At 43.7% G+C, this 24,939-nt stretch overlaps 1 protein-coding gene across 16 annotated transcripts in view, besides 2 other annotated features; it reads right to left on the bottom strand.

Annotated features, from left to right (window-relative positions):
* TBC1D2B (TBC1 domain family member 2B) overlaps positions 1–24,939 on the bottom strand; it is an 82,727-nt gene that overhangs the window by 34,005 nt on the left and 23,783 nt on the right. For 14 of the 16 annotated variants that reach the window (XM_047432269.1, NM_001387143.1, XM_011521387.3 and 11 more), the window contains 2 exons: positions 15,911–16,079; positions 1,018–1,181 (listed from right to left, as the gene is read on the bottom strand). In XM_047432269.1, coding sequence (XP_047288225.1) covers positions 1,018–1,174 — 157 coding nt within the window. In that variant the 5' untranslated portion in view covers positions 1,175–1,181; positions 15,911–16,079. Of the gene's footprint in view, positions 1–1,017; positions 1,182–5,485; positions 5,608–5,700; positions 5,754–15,910; positions 16,080–24,939 lie in introns of those variants that run through there. The other 2 variants (XM_047432270.1, XM_047432271.1) reach the window with 2 other exon arrangements.
* Positions 5,431–5,490: an enhancer, noted in NCBI's record as "active region_9900". NCBI's record gives its function as "activates an Ori minimal core promoter by ATAC-STARR-seq in GM12878 lymphoblastoid cells {active_cell/tissue: GM12878}" and the evidence as "EXISTENCE:reporter gene assay evidence [ECO:0000049][PMID:35858748]".
* Positions 18,332–18,411: a silencer, noted in NCBI's record as "silent region_6701". NCBI's record gives its function as "represses an Ori minimal core promoter by ATAC-STARR-seq in GM12878 lymphoblastoid cells {active_cell/tissue: GM12878}" and the evidence as "EXISTENCE:reporter gene assay evidence [ECO:0000049][PMID:35858748]".

Genomic DNA, 24,939 nt, shown 5'->3' on the forward strand with positions numbered 1-24,939 from the left:
CAATTAAGGAATTAAATAATACTAAGGATTTATTGTAACTGTAAATATAATAAAGAAGTTGTGGTTATAATTTTTTTTTTTTTTTGAGACAGAGTCTCGGTCTGTCACCCAGGCTAGAGTGCAGTGGCGCGATCTCCACTCACTGCAAGCTCTACCTCCCAGGTTCACGCCATTCTCCTGCCTCAGCCTCCCAAGTAGCTGGGACTACAGGCGCCCCCCACCACGCCCAGCTAATTTTTTTGTATTTTTAGTAGAGATGGAGTTTCACCATGTTAGCCAGGATGGTCTCGATCTCCTGACCTCGTGATCTGCCCACCCTCAGCCTCCCAAAGTGCTGGGATTACAGGCGTAAGCCACCACGCCTGGCCAGTTATAATTTTTCTAAAAGAGTCATTATCTCTTAGAGGTACATACTATAGCATTTGCAGATGCAGTTGCAGATTGCAATTAAATAATATTAAGGATTTATTGTAACTATAAATATAATAAAGAAGTTGTAGTTATAATTTTTTTAAAGAGTCATTATCTCTTAGAGATACATACTGAAGTATTTGCAGATGCAATGGATTAATGCCTACAATAATAATCCAGCTGACAGTGGGTGCAGGGAGGTGCAGGAGCTTAGAGACGGAGAAGGAAGAAGAGAGACCATAGTTCACATTGTAGAAGCTGGATGATGTGTGTACACCAGAATTCATGAGACTATATTCTCTTTTGTGTACATTTCAAATTTCTATAAAGTTTTTTAAAATCAGTATTTCCATAAAGAGGATCATGACTTCCAAGTCTGCTATCTCCCTCAAAAAACTGAGCCATTGGACTAGACAGTCATTTATTTCTTATAACGTTTATTAAATAATTTTTTAAGCCTTTATGTTTTAAGTCCGACAAAGAGAATGCAAGCCCCCATTGGTCCTTATGCTTCTCGAAATACCTGCTAATAATGTGTCTCCACATCACTGGTGGTTAACAGATGGCAGTACAGAGAATGACAGACAACAGGAAGTACATTGATACCTTTGTTTCCTTCAGGGGTCAGCTTCTTCTTTTCTTCCTGTACTATGGACTCCTCTAGGTCCTTAGGGGTTGGGTCTAAAAGTTCCCACTCTTCATTGGTATAAAACACAGTCCTCCGACTATCATTATGTCCTCTCCCAGGACGGAAAGAAGACATCGAATTCCTGTTGGGAAAAACAATATGTGTTATTAACAAAAACAAAAGTAAAACAAAACGTAATCTCATGTATATAGGATTGGCAAAAATTTAAATATCTAATGATACCAAATGTTGGTGAGGATACGGAGAAATGGGGATTCCCTTTTTTTTTTTGAAATGGAGTCCCCCTCTGTCACCCAGGCTGGAGTACAGTGGTGCAATCTTGGCTCACTGCAACCTCTGCCTCCTGGGTTCAAGCAATTCGCCTGCCTCAGCCTCCCTGAGTAGCTGGGATTACAGGCTGCACCACCATGCCCAGCTAATTTTTTTTTTAATTATTTTTAGTAGAGATGGGGTTTCACCATGTTGGCCAGGCTGGGCTCGAACTCTTGACCTCAAGGTGATCTGCCCACCTCGGCCTCCCAAAGTGCTGGGATTACAGGCGTGAGCCACCTCACCCAATCGAAATGGGGATTCTTATACACTGCTGGTGGGATTATAAATTGATACTATTACCATGCAGAGGAACTCAGCAAGGTACTGTTAAGTTGAAGAGGTGCCTACCCCTAACACCCAGTATTTGCTAAAAGAAATTCTTACATATGTGCACAAGGAGACACAAGCAAAAACATTCACTGCAGCATTGTTCATATTAGAAAAAAATAAAAAGGTACAACAACCTAAACATTCATGAACAGGAGAATAAACTGTGGCATATTCATATAGTCAAGTACTATACAGCACTTAAAATTAACTCATTCATCCACCAATTATTGATTGAGCCTACAACATGCCAGGCAATATTCTAGATGCTTGGAATATCCCAGTGAACAAAACACAGCAAGATTATTATTCTTGTGGAATGTACATTTCAGCCAAAGCTATACGTATCATAGGGATAAACATTTTTTAAACACTGAAAGAAAAAGAAAATGGAAGAATTATAGGTACAGCATGATACTGTTTTACACCTTCAGATTATACTATTAACAGAGACTACTTATGGATACATATATATGTAGCAAAACTATTTTTTTAAGTCCACACATAAATTACAATTATCAAATACAGAATATTGGCCACCTCTGTAAAGGTAAAGAAGAATAGGATCAAGAAGAGAGGATTTAGCCAGGTGCCATGGCTAATGCCTGTAATCCCAGTACTTTGGGAGACTGAGGTGGGCATATCACCTGAGGTCAGGAGTTTAAGACCAGCCTGGCCAACATGGCGAAACTCTGTCTCTACTAAAAACACAAAAATTAGCTGGGTGTGGTGGTGCACACCTGTAGTCCCAGCTACTCGGGAGGCTGAGGCACAAGAATCACTTGAACCTGGGAGGCGGAGGTTACAGTGAGAAGAGATCACCCCACTGCACTCCAGCCTGGGCGATAGAGCAAGACTCTGTCTCCAAAAAAAAAAAAAAAAAAAAAGAGAGAGAGAGAGGATTTTAGTAAAGTTCTGTTTTTAAAAATGCAGTGGAAATATGACAAAACTATAAAAATGAGTCATGGCTATCTGAGTAATCAATATACTTGTCTGTGTGCTAAAAATATTTCATTAAAAGTTTTAAAAAGTAGGTTAAGATTTCTGCTTCCAGTGAAGATGGAATAACAAGGACTAGATTTACCCTCCCCGGTGAAAACTAAAGAACTGAAAAAAAAATTAAAAATACAGGAAACCATGGTTTTTGGATATTGGCCATCAGGCAGCACAGGACACTGATCCTGAGAGAGGGAAAGCCAATGAGGTAAGCCCACCTTACTGCCTGGAGACAGTTTCCAGGCCAGGCTGCAGGCAGGGAAAACCCAGGAGGAGCCCAGCATCTCTCTGAGATGAGAAGATAGAGTGGAGACTCTCAAGGCAGTTGCAGCTCATAGAGCAGAGTACTAGAGAGAAGAGAGCTGCACAGAGGGAGTGTCACAGAGATCTTAGATGGTATCCCCAAGTCTTCAACCGAGTACTGATTGTGGCTTCGATGTAAGAAAGCTATCCGAGGACAGGGAGAGAACCAACTGAGAGAAGCAAAGGAAACCATCCCTGAGCCTCACACGGGACCGGGAATAGTGCCTAGTCTCACCAGTCAGAGTGGAAAACCTCATAATTCACAGGGCATCAGAAAGATTACTGAGAAAGGCTACTGATGGTATCCCTAAAGCCTGTGCTCATCCTACCAAGCAAAGCTTAAAAGCAAACTTCAAAAGGATCAAACTGTTCCAGAGTCATTTAATACATCCGAGAACAAAGCCCAATAATATTTATAGCAATAAAAAAAATATATATATATATATCCAGCACACAAAAAGGTAAAATTCACAACATCTGGTATTCAATTTTAAAAATGACCAGGCATGCACGAAGTGGGAAGTACAAGTCACAATGAGGAAAAAAAATCAATCAACAGAAACAGACCAGAAACAACAAAAGATAAAATTAGCAGACAGGGACTCTAAAAGTTATAACTGTATTCTTTATGTTCTAAAAGCTAGAAAAAAAAGAATAAACATCTTAGAGACATAGAAAATTAAAAAAAAAAGATTTAAATAAAATTTCCAAAGATAAAACTACAATGCCTACGATGAAAAACATGCTAAATGGGAACAAGAGCAGAGTAGGTATTGTGGAAGGAAAGACTAGAAAATTGGATGACCCTGCAATAGAAACAACCTAAAACGAAACAGAAATATGACCTAAAATGAAACAGAAAAACAACAAATGAAAAAAAGGAAGGATGGATGGACCAATGAGTCGGTCACTGAAGGGGACGAGAAGGGGAAGAGATGGAATAAAAGTATGTGAAGAAATAATGACCAAAAATTTTTCTAAATCTGATGTAAACCATCAATCCACAGACAAAAGAAGCTCAACAAACTTCAAGCACAAAAATCATGAAGAAAACTGTATCAAGGCATATCATAATCAAATTGCCTAATACAAATAATATTTAAAGTTTTAAGTATAACCCTAATTTGCAAAAGAAATAAAGGAAGTCAAATTTTTATAGTTAAACTGTCAAAAGGTAAGAGGCATGTGTTCATTATGAAGAGACATCTTAATTCATTTGAGCAGTCGGTAAGTGGAGTGCTGAGGAGAGGACATGCTCACATGAACCACCTTACTTATACGCACACACATACATACTTATATTCTCTTACTTAATAGACCCATCCTTATCCCTAAAGCAATAAAAGGAATAAAATACGAAAACACCAAACAATATAGGTAAGTCTCCAAAAACGTTAAGTGAAAGAAGACACACAGGAGACTATAAGGAGTATGATTCCATTTATATAAAAATTTTTAAAACTCAAAGCTATAGTGACGGAAAGCGGATCAGAGGTTGCCCAGGGCCGGGTATTAAGGGAAGGGATCAACCGCAAAGGAACGTGAAGGAATTTTTAAAGGTGTAGAAATGTTCTATTTTTCTTTATTATGGAGGTGTTTACATCGCTGTGTATAATTTCTTAAATTCATCAGCCTATTCACCTAAAATAGGTGAACTTATTGGAGGTAAATTATAACTCAATGAAGTTATTAAAATAAACATGCAAATAAATAAGGAAGAGGAAGAAATGTATCATTTGGTGTTTTCTGAGGTGGATTAAAGGAAAGGGGGGAAAAGGTGGCTTTACCTCTAGTTTGAATCAGACAGATGATATTCTCATGTAAAACAGTCATTTCTCAATGTGTTTTTTAAAGCATATCATTTTTCCTTTTTACTTGTACTTTAAACATTCAGAAGAATACAGAGAAATTATATAACACGCTTATGTTCTCATCACGCTATCACAGTATATGGATGTATGGCCTTTGGCTAACTGCTTTAACAAAGAGTCACCAGAAACCAGCAATTATGCCTGTTTAGAACTGACACTCACTTTCTCATAGTTTATTTACTTAGGACCAACACGGAGCTGGTAAACGACGTATAGCATCTTGCACGTGCTATTTATTTCCTGTCTCTTCTAGAGCCTGGCACTGTGCCACACATCTTCACAGACAACTGCATAGAAGGATTCTAGTCAATTCCCCATGGTAACCCAATGAGCAAGATACTGTATAAAGTCTGATTTTATAAAAATTATAAAATTGTAGAGAAAACTATTTCAAAATAGCTGCTCAAAAAGAAAACTCTCACAAATGCTGGCTATACTTCTGTTCATTTTTTTGACATGACTGGTTCATCACTTCACAGGGCACTGGGACACCGCTGGACCCACTGCACCATGACTTTTCAGTGGCCCTGCCTACAGCAAGGATCTCACAGGAGCCTTCCCTCAGGTGGCATGTGACTACCACCACCGTCAATTTTAGGAGTTAAATTCTCCTTACCATTTGCCCTAGCTGTCAAACTGTGCTCCTCAGCTCTGGTTCCTAAAGGGTGAATGCAGGAAAGAGAAATAAGAGCAGGGACACCCCCACACGGCCTGGGGAGAGAGAACAGTAATTTCAGTGACTTAGAACTGCCACACACCCTCCTTCCTCCCACCGCGGTTTTGGGTTTCCAGCCTGTTGCAAGCCTGAGTCGTACGCTGCCGTGCTCTCACCTGCAGCTGAGGGACAGCCTTGCTGGAGGTGCGGTGCTACTTGTCAAGTCCTGGATAAGAGAGAAATGGAATCAGGCTCAAAGTGAAAGCCTCTTGAAGCTGAAACAGTATATAGCCAATTCCTGTTTTTGCTCTTATGTGGCAAAACCCAATTCTAGGACTGTGCAACAAGGGGGTCATTACAGTGCAGACTTCTCAGACACACTCACCCTGTCTGCTCTGGCCCACAGAGGCCTCGGTGGCAACTACGTGTCCTGCCTGTGTACTCCATGAGGAGTTCACAGCTGGTTTAAATGGAGGCGTTTTTTTAGCTGGTGTTAGAGGCTGTTCTATGACAGTATTTGCTGTTTAAAGACCGCAGTCTCATTTGACAGATCTTTGAGAGGCCTACTGTGTTCTCCCAGGCAGCGTGCCAGGTGCCCACCTATAAACACTCAGCTGCTCTGATCTGAAATAGAAAGTGAGGCACCACGAAGCAGCAAAACAGCACCTTGTCAGGGGCAGTGGTCAGCCTGAGCTTTTTAAAACAAACACCAGCAATCTGTATCATCGTTAAGAAAACCTCTTTCCGGTGGAGGTCTGCACAGTTTAAAATGTCTAACTAAAACAGTAATAACTCGTTCGACATTCGTTTGGATTCTGATAACAAGCTAGAATTTACAAGTTGACAGAATTGTTGGGAAATGTTCCATCAAATTTCTTCCAAGTTAACCCCTCCACAAACCGCCTGCACAGCCAGGTTTCAGGCAAAACCACAACCTCTTCAGCAGGTGGACGACACTGCCAAGGCAGAGGTTTGCACTTGCCAGGACTTTGTGCACAGGAGGGAAGCAGGCTACCACTGCTTCCAGCTCCTTCCCTCCCTCCAGACTACAGGCCCTGTTAAGGGAAACAAAGGTGGCGGGGCAGGGAGGAGGTTGTGTGGGGGGGTTTCCTCTGACTGGCAACAGCCATCTCAATAAAGCTGACTCAGTATTTCCTCCTCTACAAATTAATTCCTCAAATATATTCTCACAAGGGCACAGAGACGTATGTACAAGAATATCAGAACAATGCTATTTGAAATGACAGAAAAGTAGAAACAAGCAGATGTCCATGGCTAGGAAACTGCTTAAATAACTTAGGGCACATTCCTATAACCGAATTCTGTTAGAACAAGAGCTCTAGTAAGGGCTAACAAGTTTGGACATTCCAGATAAGTGCCTATATAATGTGTCAGCTCAAAGGGGCATGGCAGGTGGCCCTACACTCTCCACCACTGCTGACCCCTCCTGACCCATCTGCTGGTGAGAGCACAGCTTTGGTGCAAGTGGGCCTCATGACATGGTAAATACAGATAAGCCATGTCTGAGCGAAGAGTGAGCATTCTAAGTCCCTGAAGTAGCTATGCACTGACATAGTGGATACTGTACAATCCCTCTAAGTCACATACACACAGAGCGAAGTTCAGGGTGCAGACATAAGTACCTTCAGTTCTAGTGGTGACTTCTGGGAAGTGGACTTAAAAGGACTTTCATTTTTAACTGTGTACCCCTCAGCAATGATTGATTTTTCTTTTTATACGCATGCACGCTTATTGCAATGAAGTACAAACACACAACTAAGAAGGCAGGCCAAATGGGGAAGCTGTCAGGTGGCAGGCCTGCAAGCCAGGTCACTTGCTATGGTTTGAATATCTCCTCCAAAACTCATGTTGAAATGTAATAATCATTGTGACGGTATTAAGAGGTGGGACCATTAAGAGGTGATTAGGCCATGAAGGCTCAGTCTTCACGAATGGATTAACACCGTTATCTGGGGAGTGGGCCTAGATTCAACTACAGAAGAGGAGACAGCAATGTGGCCAAGGAAGCAGTGATTTAGAGCAAGGCAGCCACAGGCCAAGGAATACCAGCAGCCACCAGAAGCTGAAGGAGGCCAGGAACTAACTCTGCCCTGGAGCCTCTGAAGAAAGCAGTCCTGCCAACACCTTAACTTAGGCCTAGTGAAGCTGAGTTTGAATTTCTGGCCTCCCAAACTATCAAACAATAAATAGGTGCTGTTTTAAGCCACCAGTGTTATGGTCACTTGTTATAGCAGCCAGAGCAAATTAACACAATTACTCTCTAGTAAGCTATCGTCCTTCAAACCAAGGACTTCGAGAGGCTGCTTTCTGTTGTGGTCCAGGCTTCAGCTGGCATTCAAGTTTGGAGCATTAACGTCCAAAGTCAGAATATATTTACTTCTGATATGATGTCTTTTGGTCTTGAGGACCTGGAAAGGTGTCATCAGAAAGACAGTTTCCAAAATACTCTAGACATTTACCTGGACAGATGAGTACATCACCCTTCCAATTTTAAGACATCAGAGCAAACACCTAATAAACATGCACAGCCTCAAAGAAACCAAACATCTAAGAAACAATATTCTTACTGTAGAACTTTCAGACAGGTACAGCTCCACAGGTTCCCTACTGTCCAAAGGGCAGACACCCCCACCCCTTCACCCTGGGAGTCCCTGGCCTCCTCAGCTCCTCTTCTATCCTCACCCCCTTAGCACCCTACGCACCTGGCACCAGAACCCATGCCACTCTTGAGACACACCCTGTTCTGACTTCCTTGCCTCTGCATGGGTGTCCTTGCACTTGCATTCCCCTTTGGACAGTCCCTCTCCATCTCTCAAGCCCTTTAAGCCAAAACTCATCTTCACAGCAAAACCATCACCGGCCTCTCCCACAACCCACACTGCAAAGAATAAGCACTTCTTCCTGGTGTGCCCAGGTAGGCCGTGACATACTGGGTTCAGCCTTGAACCGCACCCTACAGCCCCTGTGGCAGGACTCACGGGCTCGCCTGCCTGTCTTCCTGAAGAACCTTAAACAGCTGACAGCGGGGAGGGACAGCCTCTTACCCAAGGGAACATCCTCAGCCCCATCCCATAGTGGAGGGGAGAGGAAGATGCAGCAGGGTGGGAGGGAGGGCCAGCTGCCCAGCCAGGCAGTCCTGCAGAACGGGCTTCTCAAATGCAGGTGATGACCCACTGGGGGCCAGGACATCAATTAAGGAGTGAGGAAATCAATTTTGAGGGTCATGACAAGCATTTTTTTAGTATTAGAAGAGAAAATACTACTTAGCTTTACTACATGTAGCAGTGGAATTTTTCTTTCAGTTTTATTTACATAACAACAGTATACATTTACATACAAAGATGTGTATTTTCTGCTGTCAGTTCCCAGTCAAAAAAGTGAACAATGCTGTGTCAGAAGGTAACATCCTGCCCAGGAAGCCAAACAGAAAGAAAAGTGCTGAGAGGAACTGTCGTCCTGCTAGGGAAGGGAGTGTGGCACAAGGGCAGGTGGGTGTGGGCAGACCCCCCCACGAGTATAAAGGGCAGAGGATGAGAAGCCCCCAAGCAGCGGGAGCAAGAGCAGCAGAGCAACTCTGCCCCTGGAAGGGTCTGGAGCCTTCCCTCATCACTCTTCCTCAAGTCGGTGCTGGACACCCACCATGAGCCAGGCAGTGTGAGGTGCTGGGGTAAACCAGAGACAAGACAGATAGGGTCCCTGCCCCATGGAGCTCCCAGCCTTGCAAGAGAGCTGGACCACAGACAAGTACACAAAGAAATACAGAAACTACAGGGCTATGAAGGAGAAGCACGGCAGTGAGGAGTGGGAGGAACAGAGAAGGCTTCTCTGAAGAATGAGCAGAAGTAACCAGAGAAGACAGAGCCCTCCCTGCAATGGGACAGCCTGAGGCAGGGCCTGTTGGGAAGACATACACCTGAAGAACTGAAAGAAGTCAAGTGGGCCTGCAACAGAGGAAATGACAGGGGTCAGACCCCACGGGACCCTGAAGGCCATGTTCAGCAGCACAGCCTTCAGCCTAAGGCAATGAGAAGCCTCTGAAAGGCTGAGGCAGTCGATTGAATTGATTCAGGTCCCTTAGAATTGGGTCCCTGCAACAGGTGGACCCAGCACAGGCACAGGATGCAGACAGGTGCCCTTCCTCAGCCCCCAACTCTAAATACAACCGGAGACATGGCCCAATTGCTCCCTTGGTGGCCCTGGACAAGACATTAAAGTTCTCTGAGCCTCAGCTTGCCATGCTGAGTCATGGTGAAAGGTCTCCGAGTCTACAGGCCAAAGCCACTGGTCCTCTCATGACCGCAGTGATTTCCATGGAACAGTGTCATACACCGATGGCCCTTCTGATATGTGGGCCCCTGGGAGCATGTGAATGGATCAAGACCAAGAGGACTACTGGGACATAATTGCTAAGCACGACTTCATGCTCCTGGGGGCTATCAGAAAAGACCAGGTGCCATTGCACCACTGCAGAAACACACACACACCCCAGCCAACTTCCTGCAACTGCTGAAACTCCATGGGCCAAAGAGCAAGTTGCCTTCCTTTCTGCTTCCTTCTCCAGAAGTCCTGGCTTAAAAAATGTCTGTGTGAGGCAGCAGCATGGTGACTACATGCCTTGTCTTTCTTGGCAGACATAGCTGTGCCTTCCAACAAGGAAAATCACAAGTACCACATTACGGCTCCGGGACAGGAAAAACTTCCCCTAATTCACCAAACATCCGGGTGCCTGCTTTGGGCTGCGCCGGGCCCTCTGCTACGAACTGGGGCTGAAGAGAGGAGTCACTGTCATGACTTTACGGTCCTAGACACTAAAACCATAATAGATTCTTGGGAACCCCCGCCATGCTCACAAATAACTCTTTCTACCAGGCCTGAGGGAGTCAAGAGAGAAGCAAAAACAAAGGATCAGAGCGGGGCCAACTGCAGGGCCCGCAGAAGACCTATGGGAGGCAGGCCTGGAAGGATGAGCACACCTTCCCGGCTAGCTCAGCCCTTACACCTGCATTGAGAAAGGCACCCCATCCACCTGACTCAAGGAAGTGGAGACTCACTTCACCTACTGGCTCAAAAGAGACAGGGTAACAACAGTGGCAGCAATACCAGCAGGCCTGGGTTGTGTAGCCACCATTTACTGAGCACTTACAATGACACTGTGCTAGGCAGTTCTTATTTATAACCTTAACACTCACTCCCACCCATCCAGTAGAGAGGCTTACTACACACACACACACACACACACACACACACACACGCAATTTACTGATGGAGAAAATAAAGCTCAGAGAAGTTAAGTCACTAGCTCAACATCACACACCCAATAAGTAGCAGGACTGGGATTCCAAAACCTGGGCTGACTACAATATCCACAATGTGACCCCACTCTTGAACAGAACTAGAGCTGGACCCCAGGAGCCAGAGGTCCACATCAGGCCCAGCCTAGCACCCAGAGATGGGCGCACAGTCCAGGCCACAAAGCCACAGAACTTTGCTGACTGCTGTCAGCGCTGCTGCAGCCTAAGCACACCTCCTACATACACTGAAAATACACGCTCAACCGCCACACAGGCTTCCAATGCACGCTCACACGTGTGCTCAGGCATGCGCTTTCTCACTCTTGCTTGCGCACTCCCACCCCTGAGTATGCACATACACACATGGACTGGCCAGAATTTCAGCAGAGACCTAGTTCCTTCACCTGGTGTGATTTGGACTGTTGAAAAGTTAAATGAAAAATGTGGTTAAAGCAGGAATCCATATAAAAGGAACTTAAAACAAACACATGCACCTGTAAAGGTGTATGTAAATGTGCACTCATCTGCCAGTCTACTGATACACACCAGCCAAAGCCTCTTCTTGGAATCTGGGGATACTGGGCATGGTGACACGTGCCTAAATTTCCAGCTACTCGGGGGGCTGAGGTGTGAGGATCACTTGAGCCCAGAAGTTCAAGGGTTCAGTAAGCCAAGATCATGCCACTACACTCCAGCCTGGGTGACAAAGTAGAGACCCTGTCTCAAAAAATGAAAAAAGAAAAGAAAGGAAAGGAAAGGGGAGAAAGAAAGAGAGAAAGTGAGAGAGAAAGAAAGAGAGAGAGAAAGAAAAAGAAAGAAAGGAAGAGAAAGAAAGAAAGAGAAAGAAAAAGAAAAGAAAGAAAGAAAGGGGGGGAGGGAGGGAGGAAGGAAGGAGAGAGAAAAGGAAGGAAGGAAGGAAAGAAGGGAGGGAGGGAGAGAGGAAGAGAGAAAGAAAGAAAGAAGGAAGGAAGGAAAGAAAGAAAGAAAAAGCAAGAAAGAAGGAAAGAAAGAAAAAAGAAAGAAAGAAAGGAAGAAAGAAAGAAAGAAAGAAAGAAAGAGAGAGAGAGAGAAAGAAAGAAAGAAAGAAAAGGGAGGCAGGGAGGGAGGAAGGAAGAGATCAATCTGGGGATACTAACTGCAGTTCTCTGTTATCTTTCTTGGGCAAATCACATCCATTAAGACATCAGCTAACTTTCCCAATTTTGTTTGTTTCTTATTAAAAAGTGGAACAAGGCCTAACAGTTGTGAAACAATCTAAGCATAAAATCTTACAGGGTTTTAAGTTTTTTTTCTTTGATTTTTCACGATCATGTCACCCACATCCTCACAGCAATTTTTTCAGTGACTCACCTTTATCAAATTTTCCCTAAGCATTCAACTTATTTTTCCTAGAAACAACAATTCCTTTTTTATATTTCACGGGTTTAGTAAATATCTCATTGAATTACATAATTACAATAATAAGTACAACGGGCATTAACCAGTGAGGAACAAACCCAGCTGATTCTTGGTAGGTCTGTAGCTCAGCTGGTGGGGGCAGCAGGGACACAGGTGCCCTGAAGTGGCCCATTTGGTCTCATGCAGTCAGTCAGTGAGGACCATGGCTCTACTGAGGAACCTTAAAATGTCAGTTCATCAGGGGAGCTAGTTAAGAGAGTTTCAACTATACTGATAAATAGAATAAAAGAATAAACCTTCATTTATCTTTTAAGCCTTGACCATAATGTTGACAGCATTTTGAGTGCATTAAAAAATACAATTTTTGAGCCATTCATTTATAATACAGTAATCTATTTTAGGGTCACTAAAGTCTGTCTGTGCACCTAAGGCATTTTATTTAAAACTTCATAAAGCATGCCATAAGTAAAAACAAACAAAAGAAAAACAAAAAACCATAAACACTTAAGATTCATATGCCAGTCAATAAGCATTAGTGTCTACAGAAAGTGGTCCCAAAAACCTCTGTGAAGAATGGCTTTGTCATGAGCTGTGCCTCCACCAGCAACAGCAACAACTAACACTCGCCTAGTACTTCCTAAGTGCCAGGGACTGTTCTAAGCAGTTTACACATATGAATTCATCATCATGCTATCAATCTCATGATGTATGATTATTATCTTCATATTACAAATGAGAAACGGAGGCACAGAATATTAAGTAACTTGCCCAAGTTATCCAGCTACTAAGTGGCATAGCTGGGAGTTGAACTCAGGCAGCCTGGTTCTTAATCACTGTGTTACACGGCAAAGGCACAGCTGATAGAAGATAACTCCTACACTAGATTTTTCACCCTGAATGTGATCTGTCAGCTGTGACAGGCAGAAGTGACAGGCGTTCACTTTCCTAGGCAGGAGGCACTCAATCATCATCCATGTTCCTATGCTCAAGGACATGGAAAACACCCAGCATTACAGGTCTATTTCCACCTCATTCCATTATCTCACTTTGAGGGCAGATGACACAGCTTAGGTATGAAAATCTGGCAAATCAATAGTCCCCCAAATGTGTTCTTATGATGAAAGGGGGAAGGAGCACTGGGTCCCCAATTAGGAGACCTGGGTGTGTGTTCAGCTCGGCCACACACTTGCTATGTGATCTTGAGCAAGTCACTTTACCTCTCTAAGCCTCAACCTTTTAACATGTGGAATGAAGGGAGGCTCTCAGTGGTTTTCTGACACTTTTAGGAGCACAGATCCCTTTCTTTACTGAGAAGCCCAATACTTTGAAACAGAGGAAATCAGTGGTTCTCAAGCTGCAGGTACCTAGGGAAGGCAGCCCCACTGTGCCTCCCGGATGACCCCTCCCCATCCCCTGGGTGCTGGGAGATGACTGGACTTAATCAGATGGCACAGGGCAGACAGGCACATGGTGAGCAGAGGTTCTGGGATGAAGAGGAAGGCACAGAATGGCCGGAACACAGAGGCTCACAAAGTGCTAATACTGGGAACAGCTGCCCAAGGAAGAGACTAATGTCGTATCGTTGAGAACCTCAAATATCAGACCAAAGAGTTTGGAGCTGCACTTGCAGGCTGAGGGCTATCAGCGTAGGGAGATGACATGATCAGAGCTGACTCAAGAGAGAAAACAGCAAAAAGCCGATGAATGGGAGCAGAGCAGGACCAAGAAGGTGGGACTGCAGCCACAAGCCAGGATGAGGAAGGAAGGCAGGGCCCACTACAGTGATCACCCTCACAAGTGCTGGTCTTCTGAGGTCTGAGTACCCCTGACATTCAGCTCCAATATAACCTATATATATCCTATATATCCCACTCAGCTTCAATATAAACCTATGCCTTAAAAACTAAAAACACACAGAAAATAACTTTATCATACTGAATTCAACCACGAAGGTACAAAAAAGAAAGCAGTTACAGCAAAGAGGCTACTTTTTAAAACAGTGTGTCCTTGGATGGTAGCTTCTAAGAACACCCCAGCCCCATCCTGAAAAACCAGTGGGACCCCTTATGGAGCTCAGCTGGCCAACTGCATAGTGACCACTGGCTTGGACTCTACAGGACAGCAAGAAACTTCCAAGTCTCCCACAACGCACTGCCACTACAACCTTTCTCTTTTTTCATTTTTTCTTTTTTTTGAGACAGGGTTTCACCACGTTGCCCAGGCTGGAGTGCAGTGATGCGAACTCAGCTCACTGCAGCCTCGACCTCTTGGCCTCAAGTGATTTTCCCACCTCAGCCTCCAAGTAATTGGGACCGCAGGCATGCATCACCACCCCCAGCTAATGGATAAACAAAATATGGCACATTCATATATGGGAATATTATTTGGCCATAAAAGGAAATGAAGCACTGATAGTTGCTACAGCATGGATGAATCTTGAAAATATTATGCTAACGGAAAGAAGCCAGACACAAAGGTATGCACGGTGCCATTTATATGAAATGTCCACAATAAACAAATTCATAAGCCAGGGGCAGTGGCTCATGTAATCCCAGCACTTTGGGAGGCCAAGGTAGGATTGCTTGAGCCCAGAAGTTGAGACCAGCCCGTGCAAGATAGAGGGAACCCTGTCTCTACAAAATAAATAAATAAATAAAATATTAGCCGGGCATGGTGGTGCACACCTGTAGTCCCAGCTACTCTGGAAGCTGAGGTAGGAGGATTGCTTCGTTCAAGGCTGCAGTCAGCCATGAACCACGCAACTGCATGCCAGCCTGGGTAACAGAACAAGACCTTATCTTAAAAAAAAAAAAAAAACCCACCAAAAAACAAATTCATAGAGATAGAAAGTTGATTAGGAGTTGCCTACGGCTGAGGGTTGACAGAGGAGAAGGGGTTGGGGGAAATGAGAAGGAACTGCTAATGTAATGAGTTTCTTTTTGGATCGATGAAAACATTTAAAAATTGATTGTGGTGATGGAAGCACAACTCTGTGAATATACCAAAAATCATTGAATTGTACATTTTAAATGGGTGAATTGTACAGTGTGTGAATTGTATATCAATAAAGTTCTTCTTTAAAAAACAAGTCAACCATAGTGGCACATGCCTGTAGTCCCAACTACTCAAGAGGCTGAGGCAGGAGGATCACTTGAGCCCAGGACTTGAGACCAGCCTGGGCAACACAGCAAGACCTCATCTCATAAAAACCAACCAAACGAACAAAAACCAACCCACCTCTACTCTCACTAGCCCATGCACAAACAGAGAATGGAAATCCAGAGCACAGGACGTGGCCAGCCTAGTGTCTTGGAGAGGGGACTAGGCCCTAGGCACAAGAAGCCCCAGCTCTGCAGCCTGGAAGAATTGTGACCTCAGACACATACTCTCCTTCAGCCAGTTTCAGTCTCTGTAAAATGTCAGCCATATGACCTACTTCACAGAGTTGAGCAATTAAATTAAACCGTTTAAGTGTGAAACTGTTTGGCATAGTGTCAGACACAGAATAAGCATGTAATACAAGCTAAAACCACAATGATCTATGGGAAAGTATGATGTAAACAACAAAGGCCTTTGTAAGTGTAAGATAGTTTTATAACTTCATTTATAAAATTATAACATACATTATCAGAAACAACCCATTTTCAATTTCATATGCTGCTTTCTAAAGACTCACTTGAGCTCATTGCCCCACTGTTTCAAAGAGTAAAAATTAATGGAATTTGGATGCCCTGGGGCGGGCTGATTTGCAGCTTGTTCTCCCACCAGCTCTCCAGGCACAGTCTCCACAGCTAGGACATTTCTGGCTTTTTCTGCAGAAGCATTTGGGTGTGGGTAAATTAAATCTGAAAAAAAAGGTAAACAAATGTCAGTTACTCAAAGCTTCCACACGAAACTTGACATCCCACATAAAACACTGACTTGACATACTATATAAAAATCTAAACTATGTAATAGTATATTTTTAATGTATACTACATAAAAACATAATCTGTGGGTAACTCTGATGTTCTGAAACCATCTTCATCTAAACAGATCCATGTTTCTCAAAGGAAGGTTGTGACATGCCTCAAACCACCAAGTATTAACAGTGTTGGCCCAGAGAAAGCAAAGGCTAGAATTTTCCTCCAGTACTGCAGACCAATAACCCTCACCATAAACCCGTCATCAAAGTCCAATCACCTGTACTGATAAGAAACAATTTCCAGGATAAACTGTTATATAAGAAAAGCAAGGTGCAGATCAGATTATACAAGGGTCCCTTTTCTCTAAGAAAGTGGGAGAAATACAAATATAAATGTATTTGCTTGTAAAGAGTGACAGTGAAAAAATAAAGTTTGCACATCACAGAATAGCAGTTCAGTAAATTCACAAGCAAACATACTGATGCTAAAGCATGATGAAACTTCACAACACATCTTTAAAATGTAAACTTTTGAAATAGTTAAGGTGGAAATGATATGATGGTCAGGATTTACTTCAAAATAGCAACATTTTGTTACTTAACAAATACATAGTAATATTTGCTTCAGGTAACATGTTATTTGCTTGAAAATAACAAAGCAGGGTATCAATGAAACGAGGGGTAATTACTGTTCCAACTACCTAATAAACCTAGAGGTAATATTATGTTATTCTTCGTATATGTTTAAAATTTCCCATAATAAAAAGTTACTTAAAATTTTTTTGTTTTTGATAAAAACATTTTTCTTTTTTTTTCCCCCATAGACGGAGTTTTGCTCTTGTTGCCCAGGACAGAATGCAATGGCGCGGTCTCGGCTCACTGCAACCTCCTCCTCCTGGGTTCAAGCGATTCTTCTGCCTCAGCCTCCCAAGTAGCTGGGATTACAGGCACCCAGCACCACACCTGGCTAATTTTTGTATTTTTAGTACAGACGAGGTTTCACCATGTTGGCCAGGCTGGTCGCGAACTCCTGACCTCAGGTGATCCACCCGTCTCGGCCTCCCAAAGTGCTGGGATTACAGGCATGAGCCACTGTGCCCGGCTGATAAAAACATTTCTAACTACAAATACTTTGTATTCTTCCAAATAACATAATCTGCACTGGTATTTCAGTGGTAGAATTATCCCATGCCGAATGGCATAATCTCTCTGAGAATAGGACATGCTTATAAACAGAATTCAATATTACTTTACAATAATCAATTTGATCTACACTTCTTTTTAAAATATCTCTATATCAACAAAATCAACCATCTCTTTCTGTGAAATCAGAATTGACTGCTGACCACTGATATTCAAGAAAAATTATTTTCTCTTTTTTTTTTTGAGATAGGGTCTCAGTGAACACGACTCACTGCAGCCTCAACCTCCCAGGCTCATGCAATCCTCTTGCTTCAGCCTACCAAGTAGCTGGGACTACAGGCACGCACGATGCCCAGCTAATTTTTGTATTTTTTTTTTCTTTTGTAGAGACAGGGTTTGCCATATTGCCCAAACTAGTCTTGAATGCCTGGGTTCAAGCAATTCTTCCACCTTGGCGTCCCAAAGTGCTGGGAATACAGGCATAAGCCACTGTACCCAGCCAAGAAAAATTCGTTTCTAATCAGAGAAGCACACAATCAGAGTCAGCAAGAACAGGTCTCTGGTAAAGGTCACTGAGCACTGGTAAAGGAAACAGAGAGCAGGCATTCCTGTGCTGCGCAGGCTTGGAGAGCAACGTCCTGAATGCCACATGATGGGCCTGCACTGTGTAGGCAGGTTCTGACTTGACCACAATCAGTGTAGGAAGGGCTTCAAGAACACACTGGGGAAGTATCTTGGGCATGGCATGAGTAAACAAGTGCTGTGTATCTATCAGGGTAATTTGGCTCTGGCCAGGAGAGTCAATGCATGGCTTACAGTAGGGTTCTGACTAAGAAAAGCAAGACGGTGTGCTGGGAACAGAAGAATTACAGACTTGGTAACAGAGTATACACTTTTTTTTTTTTTTTTTTGAGACTGGGTCTCACTCTGTCACTAAGGCCTGGAGTGCAGTGGTGTGATCACGGCTCACTGCAGCCTCTTGAGTCAAGAGGCAAGAAGTTACAAATAACCACAGATTGCCAGTTCTTGGTTTTACTATCATGTATTAAGCACTAGGCACCGAGGGCACAACAACCAATGAGACAGAGCTTTCCCCGTAAAGGAGAACACATCCAGGAGAGAGACATAAGTAAAACAGTAACATGTCAAGCTCCAAGTCACTACAGAATAAATACATTGAGTCGTTGGGATCCAGACCCTTCCTGTGAGTCTTAGGGTTCCAGGAGATGCCTGGGGGACTTCTAGAGGGAAAAGAGGATGGGGGCCCCATGCTCAGCTTCATCCTCAGCAGTTCCTCCTTCACTCTTTTATATACTAGGGTTGCCTTTAAGATTTCATTTGGAAAAGAGGTTCCAGTAAACAAAAGAAAAAAAAGTTCAAACACCACTAATCCAGTCCAGTCTCCCTACCTACTTTCTCCATCAGGACACTAGAGTCCAGAGCCAGGGCCAGAACCCAGACACCTGCCCCTGCAGTATACAAATATTGCAAGGCAGGTAGAGATGAGTGTACCTACTAGAGAGCACAGTGTCTGGAGTGGGGGGCAGGGGGTGCTCAATGTTGGTGACACCATGTGTCAGTCTACAGGCACATGGGGTAAAGGTGCAGCTCAAACTCCTTTACTTCAAAGGCTGGTCTTACAATCATCATCACAATTCTAAGCCAAGTCAGGAAATAAACACAACAAACTGTACAGATTTCTGTTACAGGCTGAGTCCAGCCTCTTCTTCCTGTGTGGGCTAGTAGCAAGGTGATGAACGGCCCCTCTGCGAGACTGGACTGTCAAATGCTCATGTGGCAAAGTGCCTATTACCAAGAAAACCCCAGGCCTTGCAGCAACCCACAGCCCATACTGGAAATACTTCCTGAGGAACTCAGAGGCCCCAAGGAGGGGTGGAGAAAAGGGACCAGAGACCAGGGAGGAACACGTTGGAGGAAAATTTCTAAAAGTAATTATCTGACTTGAAAAAGAAGCTCTTTTCCAGCTTAATACATTTTTGCTGTTACTGTTATTTTTGTCTGGTTTTTGGTTTTTAAGAGACCACGTGAGATTTACTTAATGAAAAGCAGAGCTGCTGGCTTCTCCTCAATACATGTCCTAACATTAGCATGCAGGAAACCGCCTCAAGGAGGACACTAAGGGAAAACACAAACTAGGACATGGCAACATTTCCTCGAAGATTTTAAGAGGCTGGACTAGTGTTCATGAACATGTCTTTTGTCTTACAGCTTCAGTGGGGAAAGAAAGTCTGTGCCTGACGGTTTTTGGTGTTTAGACCTCTGTCTTTTTTAAACATTTTCAAATGCCTAAATGAAAACTCTGAGGGAGTTTCCGACTGCATTGTTCCCATTTCCTAGGTTCTGATTCCAGCACTGCCTCTAAATCCAGTGTGAACCCGGGCAGTCTCAGCCTCCCTGGTCTCCAAGAGCCCTTCCCACTTACTGCATTCTAACACATGATGCTCAAAGTCTCCTCCTAATGGGACTCCCCGCACAGGGGCGGCTCCTGCCTACAACCGGACTGCCTCAGTGAGTCTTCCCTCTCCTCTCCTGCTGTCTCAGTCAGGCCTAGGTGCTCCGCCAGCAACCTCTGCAGAGCACAGAACTGTGTACAGTGGGAGAATTCTCATAAAACTCAACCCAGGCTTGCAGCTGCATCCAAGAAAGGAGAAAAGAACACTGGGAAAGGGTTGTACCCATATGCATCAAAGCACACAGCAAACGAAAGTCTGGGTGTCAACACTGGGAGTTGGAGGAAGACAGGGTGGGTTTAATCTGAAAAAAATTTTTTTATTTATCAATGTGAGTTTTAATACAGATTGTGAAGGACCCAGTCAGGAGGAATAGAAATATCTTCCAAGTGAGGACATAGCATACATCTAAGTACCAGAAAAAAGGGGCAGCCAACCACCAGGTCCTGAGAGGCCCCAGGATGGGCCAGTCCATATGTCTGGTTAATTGCTCATTTGCCTGTCCCCTACCCCCATCAAGGACACAACTCTGTGAGAACTGAACCTCTATCTGATTTGCTAACAGCTGCATATCCAACACCTAGCATAGAGGAGTGACTTAATAAATATTGGTTAAATGACCAAATTAATCCATAAAAGACAAGAACTTGCTAACATGGCATGGGACAAAAGGCCAATTGGGCAGAAGGCAGCAAAGGCCCCTGCAGTTCTTGAGTGGGTTTATACTCATCATACTTCCTGACTTTCCTCTCTCCTGCCACCTTGCCTCTGACAGATGCCCTGAATTGGGGTGGGGGTTTCCCTGGGGTGGGGGTTTCCCTCTTTTCCTTTCCCATTCCTCCCTGTTCTCCTGCAATCTGGCTCAGCCACCACCCCACCCCCATTCACAGCCACATCAATCCCTGTATTCACCTGCACCAAGTCCCACCAAATCTAGGCTGAGGATGTCTCTGCTGACACCAAATTGCAAGCCTGTTCCACATAGACTCCTTTCCAACCCTCTCTAGCAGGCTCCTCCGAGACAGAACTGCAATCTAACCCCACTCAGCATCTCCCTCACATCCTCCCTCCCACAGTCACATTCTTTCACAACCTGACTTTCACAGACTGGTTCAGAGAGCATCTTGCTTTACAGATGGGGAAATTATGATGTGCTCAAGGTCCCATAAGCTCTCCCCATGCTGCCTCTCAGATACAACACTGGTAACTACCATGACTGATACTTCACAAGAACGCATGGTATTTTGCAGCATTTTACAAGGATTACACAAAAGCACAGCTTCCTTGATCTCTGTATGGAATCACGACATTAAAGGATGATGTGTAATTCCTGTGGCACTGCCAACGCGGGGCCTGCATTCCACCTGATGGCTTTCCTTCTGGCAGCTCTCTACACCCTGCATCCTGCACCGAGAGCACTGCTCAGGCTGCCTGAGGACTGAAAGTTACAGCTACTCCTCCCACGCCATCCCCTTGCACACAAGCTGTTAAAAGTGTAACAGTTCAACTAACCAATGCAGCTGCTTCAGGGGAGGAAATGTGTGGTCATCCTTCAAACTGTCTTCACAATACAATTTTCTGCAAGAAATACCATCCATATTCAAACAGGCACTTGGGCATTTGAGCCTGCTATGACCATGAGTGCTTTAGTACTCATGAACTTTCAAGAAGTTTTTTAAAAAAGCAGGGTGTTGTTATCCCTGGCTTGTTTTCTTATTAGTTTATGTGGGGAATGAAGTAAACGGAATGTGCTAGACATACATCCTGTAATGAGGCTATTAGCCATTTATGGGCACCTCCTTTGGGTTCTAGCTACCTCATTCTCAACAGCTATAAAGGTTTATAGACACCTGATTGTATCTTTATGCAAATTACTCTTTTATGTTGAAACTAGGTCTTTATCTATCCAGACACAGAAGACAATGTAGAATGGTATTTGAGGCATGGCATGCCTTCAGAGGGCAGGCTACAAAATAGAGGGCAGACAGAACAGATACTGACTAATAATAAAGCTGCAAGTTCCAATCACACAGGAAAGTCTCTTACTCAACACAGATTCTAGAAAAAAAATTAATGTAAGCAACTATGTGACAGTGCTGGCTCCTTAATGAATATTCAATCCAGCTTTTCCTTACTTATAGACCTTGGTTTTGATCGTGGCCATATGCTCAGCTAAAATACTTGGCTTCCCAGACTCCTTCCAGCTAGGAATGGCCATATGACAGTTCCAGCCAATGATGCATAAGCCACAGGTTTCTGGGAAAGCATTCTCCTTTTGATGTAAGTGCCACCCCCAGGGGCAGCTAGCATGAGCAGGAAAGCTAATACACTCTAGCAATGGAAAATACAGAGTCAGAGACAGCTTGGGCCCTTCAGTGGCACTAGTGAGTAGCTATGCCAGCCACAAACTGCTTATCATGTGAGACAAATTACTCCCTATGTGTAAGTCCTTATTAGTAAGGTTTCCTGTTAATTACAACTAAACATAATGCTAACCCTTTCAAAATGATATCATCTCATATATATGTATACAATATATATGTGTATATACACATACATATGGCTCTTTACACTTAACAATGCAGTTTCCCATTTGATCTTTATAACAACTATGAAGAGGGGTGAACAAACTTCAATTCCCAGAGCCACAGTTTCCTAACCCTGTACTACAGGATACGTGACTTACTTAGAGTCTGACAACTAGTAAATATCCCCAAGACTCACAGGCCCACAGGGCTTCTTCCACCAGGTAGAGCTGCCTTCTAAGATATACAACTAGCTATCAGTGCAAAACGTTAATCCCCTATATCTTTCTCCATATTGACTTTAGGTGCTAGGAGGGTCCTGATGGGTGATGCCCACTAGACTACAAATCAAAATGTTCCAAACAACTGGGTGACTACGAGACAATACTAGGAAAAGTTTTATTTTTAATGCAAATCAGTTATAAAAACATTCTTCTTTAATTCTTACTAGAGTAGGCTAAGCTGAGCAGATAACAACAAGCATGGCTTTAGAAACTTCACAGAGCACTGCCATATAACACATCACAATTTATCTTTGAACCAGATTTTATCTCTGACGATAAAACAAAAGGGGCTAAAATACAGCCTTTTCTTCTTGACTTCCTGCTTTAGATTTTTTGACTTCCTGAACCATTATAGCCTCACATACTGCTCTGGGGCCCAAAGTTTCATTCCTTGTTCTTCGAAGCTATCTAAAAATTAATAGAAGTCTAATGTTACAGTCATTTCTATCTATAAAATCTTCAAAGGCACTCCACTGCTCTTAGGTTAAAGTCCAAAATCCCAAGACCAGCAGTCTAGGCTCTCCCCCAGCTCTGGCTCTGGGTCCCAGGTGTGCCCCCAGGTTCAGCTCACTCCCCACAACTGCTTCCAGCCAGTAGCCATCCTGACTGCAGCTCTGGGAAGGCACTGCAGTTCAGCCCTGTCATCTGACTCCCCTCCTCTCTACCTAGCTAGTTCCTGGCCATCCTCCAGGCCTTGGCTTAGATGCACTTCCTCAGAGAGGCCCTAACTGCCAGAAACTATGCACAGCCCACTTACAGCCCATGGTACCAGCATGCACCCTTCCCTCACATTTCTCTCATTTTTTCTCTGCACAACCACCCTGCTTGACTAGAAATTCTGTGAGGAGAGGGACAAAGCTCATCTTGAGTGCCGACTTTGCTGAATGAATGAGTAAATGTCAGGTGGCATTTACTCAAATGCTAAATTCCATACCTGGAGTCCCCATATCAAAGGAGGAGAAACAAATATGGGCTTCAGATGTTTTCTCTGGCTCTCCAATCACAGCATTTTGGCTTAGAAGGAGGAAGGACAGCTGTTATAAAGAGACTATAGGGCTAGGCACTACTTCTTTGTCCTCCTTTCGGTTTAATATCCCTGAGTCTTTGCTAGAAAGAAGCACTTGGTGCCCTCAGAACAAAGGAACTGAGGCAAATCAAGCACCTCCTGTGCCAAAGGCACTGGCTATGCTCATGAACCCTGCCTGTTCCCACAGGGTTTCCAAATGTTCCAAGTGACTGAGACACTCAGTTAGGAGCTCCTTTTGAGTGAAAAGCACTATAAGAGTGGCTTTCAAAACAACTCAGTTAACAGTGACTCGACTCTGAACGAAACATAAGGGCGCATAAAGTTGAAAATAAAGGCATGATCTCAGAACCTGGAATAGTCAGAGCGCTAAGACAGTCGTGAAAGTGACTCAAAAACTCTCACAGAAAACATATTAATAGGTACAAAGCATATATAGTAATTTATCACTGATAAGAGGGTTAACCTGCTGAAAAATACTGGGACAAGTAAAAACAAGACTGACAAATTTGGAGACGAAAAATTCATCTAAGAATGCCTTTGTTTCTGGAGTAAATCAGCCACACGTGCCAACACCATCCTTGGTGGGACAGGCAACTCGGATGCAGCCCTGTGTTCTGCTGAGCAGAGGGTCCCACGGGTTTTAGGAAGTGAAGAAATCTCTTTATGAAACTGTTAGAACTAGTCCTTACTGTTGTCTACTCCTTTTAATGTACGCTCCGTGTGTCTTCCAAAAATACTAATACAATGGCCTGGGCTTTTTAGACCTTACTTCAGAGCTCAGGAGGCTGTTTTGTTTGTTTGTTTGTTTTTCTGGATGTGTTATTTTCCCTGTATGAAGAGTGGGGGCCAAAAAACAGTCCCATCTCCACAGTCTTTGCAATGGGGTAGGATGGGCAGCAAATAATTGTTGTTCTGTTCTTTCTAGAGGTTATCTCCATGCTGCAAATGGCCAGGGATTACCCTGAGTTACAGAAATGCCATGAATCCAGGATAGAATGAAATCAATGTTTGAAGGTTAAAGTCTTCCTAAGAAACACTAGAGAATTACAAGTGGAATGATCTGAGAATACCTTCCTAGTGTATACAAACACCTGTCAATCTTGGCAAGTCTGCCCAAGCATGACTATCTAGGCATGAGTGCTTCATCATTAGGTGTAGTAGAAAGGCTGGCCCTGCAGTCAGAACTAGACTTACAGCACCACAACTTACCACATGCTGACCTTAGTCGTATCTTCCATATGCTTGGCACTGGCCTTGCCTGATTCCAAGGCTGTCACTGGGCTTGCATAAGCTTTGTACATGGAGGCGCTGGGTAACTGTGGAATGCTGTCCACTCATAAGGTAGCATCAT

Source organism: Homo sapiens, chromosome 15, assembly GCF_000001405.40.
Source record: "Homo sapiens chromosome 15, GRCh38.p14 Primary Assembly".
Taxonomy (NCBI): Eukaryota; Metazoa; Chordata; class Mammalia; order Primates; family Hominidae; genus Homo; species Homo sapiens.